At 42.7% G+C, this 1,945-nt stretch overlaps 1 annotated feature.

The window, feature by feature from the left end:
• Window positions 676-1,266: an enhancer, noted in NCBI's record as "OCT4-NANOG hESC enhancer chr14:41984914-41985504 (GRCh37/hg19 assembly coordinates)". NCBI's record gives its function as "activates a minimal SCP1, AML or CMV promoter by ChIP-STARR-seq in naive and primed H9 embryonic stem cells {active_cell/tissue: H9 hESC(naive and primed)}" and the evidence as "EXISTENCE:reporter gene assay evidence [ECO:0000049][PMID:30033119]".

The raw sequence follows: 1,945 nt of genomic DNA, 5'->3' as shown, positions 1-1,945 counted from the left end.
ATAAGGTATTGGGGCACAGAGATAAGAGGTTGGGGCGCAGAAATAAGGGATTGGGGGTTCTTGCCCCGTAGAAAAGCAGGACTTGCCACTAAGGGTGAAGGAGAAGGGGTTGAGGGGTACTTGTCCGTCCCCCAGAAAAGCAGAGAAGGGGTAGAGACAAGGAGAGAAGGGGTTGGGGTACTTGCTCCTTCCCCAGAAAAGTGGGACTTGACACTAAGGGTGAAGGACCAAGGCAGGCGTCCCTGCGTGGTCTGACACCTTTGAAACGTGGGTGAATAATCAGAGAGGTGTCCCTGCAATGATTAAACACCAAGGGAAGGCTGCCTTCCCAGTCCGTGACCAGCGCCGGAGTTTTGGGTCCACGGATAAAACGTGTCTCCTTTGTCTCTACCAGAAAATGAAAGGAATTGAAATTAAGAGAAGGGAGAGATTGAAGTGTGGCACCAAGATTGAAAGGAGAAAGAGGTTGAGGGATAGTGAGGGAGGTTGGAGAAGAGAGTAAAAAGAGGCCGCTTACCGGATTTGAGATGTTTCTTGGGCTGGTCTGTCTGACGACCTGAGGTCGTAGGTGGATCTTTCTCATGGAGCAAAGAACAGGAGGACGGGAGATTGATCTCCCAAGGGAGGTCCCCCATTCTGAGTCACAGCACCAAATTTCATGCGCGTCCGTGTGAGGAGACCACCAAACAGGCTTTGCGTGAGCAACATGGCTGTTTATTTCACCTGGGTGCAGGCGGGCTGAGTCCAAAAAGAGAATCAGCGATGGGAGATAAGGGTGGGGCCGTTTTATAGGATTTGGGTAGGTAAAGGAAAATTACAGTCAAAGGGGGTTTGTTCTCTGGCAGGCAGGAGTGGGGGTCGCAAGGTGCTCAGTGGGGGTGCTTTTTGAGCCAGGATGAGCCAGGAAAAGGACTTTCACAAGGTAATGTCATCAGTTAAGGCAAGGACCGGCCATTTACACTTCTTTTGTGGTGGAATGTCATCAGTTAAGGTGGGGCAGGGCATATTCACTTCTTTTGTGATTCTTCAGTTACTTCAGGCCATCTGGTCATATATGTGCAAGTCACAGGGGCTGGGATGGTTGGCTTGGGCTCAGAGGCCTGACAGTTTCTTTCTGAGAAACTGGATTTGTCAGTCCCTTTCTTTGGCCTCTCAGCTCCCTTGACCTTTATAGGTAGGTCTGAATATACCTGCTCAGAGTGGAACATACATCGTTATCTAATCTACTAGAAGAGACATGAAGGCATGTAAGGAGTGAAAAAGGATTACAGAGTAATTTACGGGGAATATTGTTAGATGTAGGCAGGAATATTGGAGCAACGACAGTTTCTTCTCAGAAGAGGTGTGCGGCATAAATATTTTAGATCCTTACAAGAGTCACAATTGGAAAACCATAAATTAATCGACTAATCATCTAATGAAACATCTTTGTTTTTTAGGTGAGAAAATTGTATTCCAGAAGGTTAAAGGAAAGAGTTGAAAGTCATATAACTTCTTATTGTTAACCCTGTGGTGATGATTCACAACTCCTGGCACCTTAGTTAATTTTTAAAATTATAACAATAATGGAGTTTACATTTTAAAATGATTTTTAATATTAAAAAATATACAGAATACAGATTAACAATTGAATTGACAGACATACCAGCCAATAGCTTTCCAACTATCAGTTAACAGAATGATGCTATCTTACTGTGAGGATTCTGGGCTTACAGCATTCGTTTCCAGCATAACAGTGATGATATGCTTTATTTATTGAGTTTCCTCATAATAACATGTTAAATATACATTTCATATTTACTTTTTATGATTATGGAAGTAATGTACTAACCCTTCATGAAAAAATGAAAAAATATCAGGACGATGTAAAGGCAAAAAGACACATCACACATCTCATTCAAAAATGAGTTATATTAGTATATTTCATATTAATATTTTTCTTTCA

This window comes from Homo sapiens, chromosome 14 (genome assembly GCF_000001405.40).
Source record: "Homo sapiens chromosome 14, GRCh38.p14 Primary Assembly".
NCBI lineage: Eukaryota > Metazoa > Chordata > Mammalia > Primates > Hominidae > Homo > Homo sapiens.
This window is presented reverse-complemented; position numbering and strand designations above follow the sequence as displayed.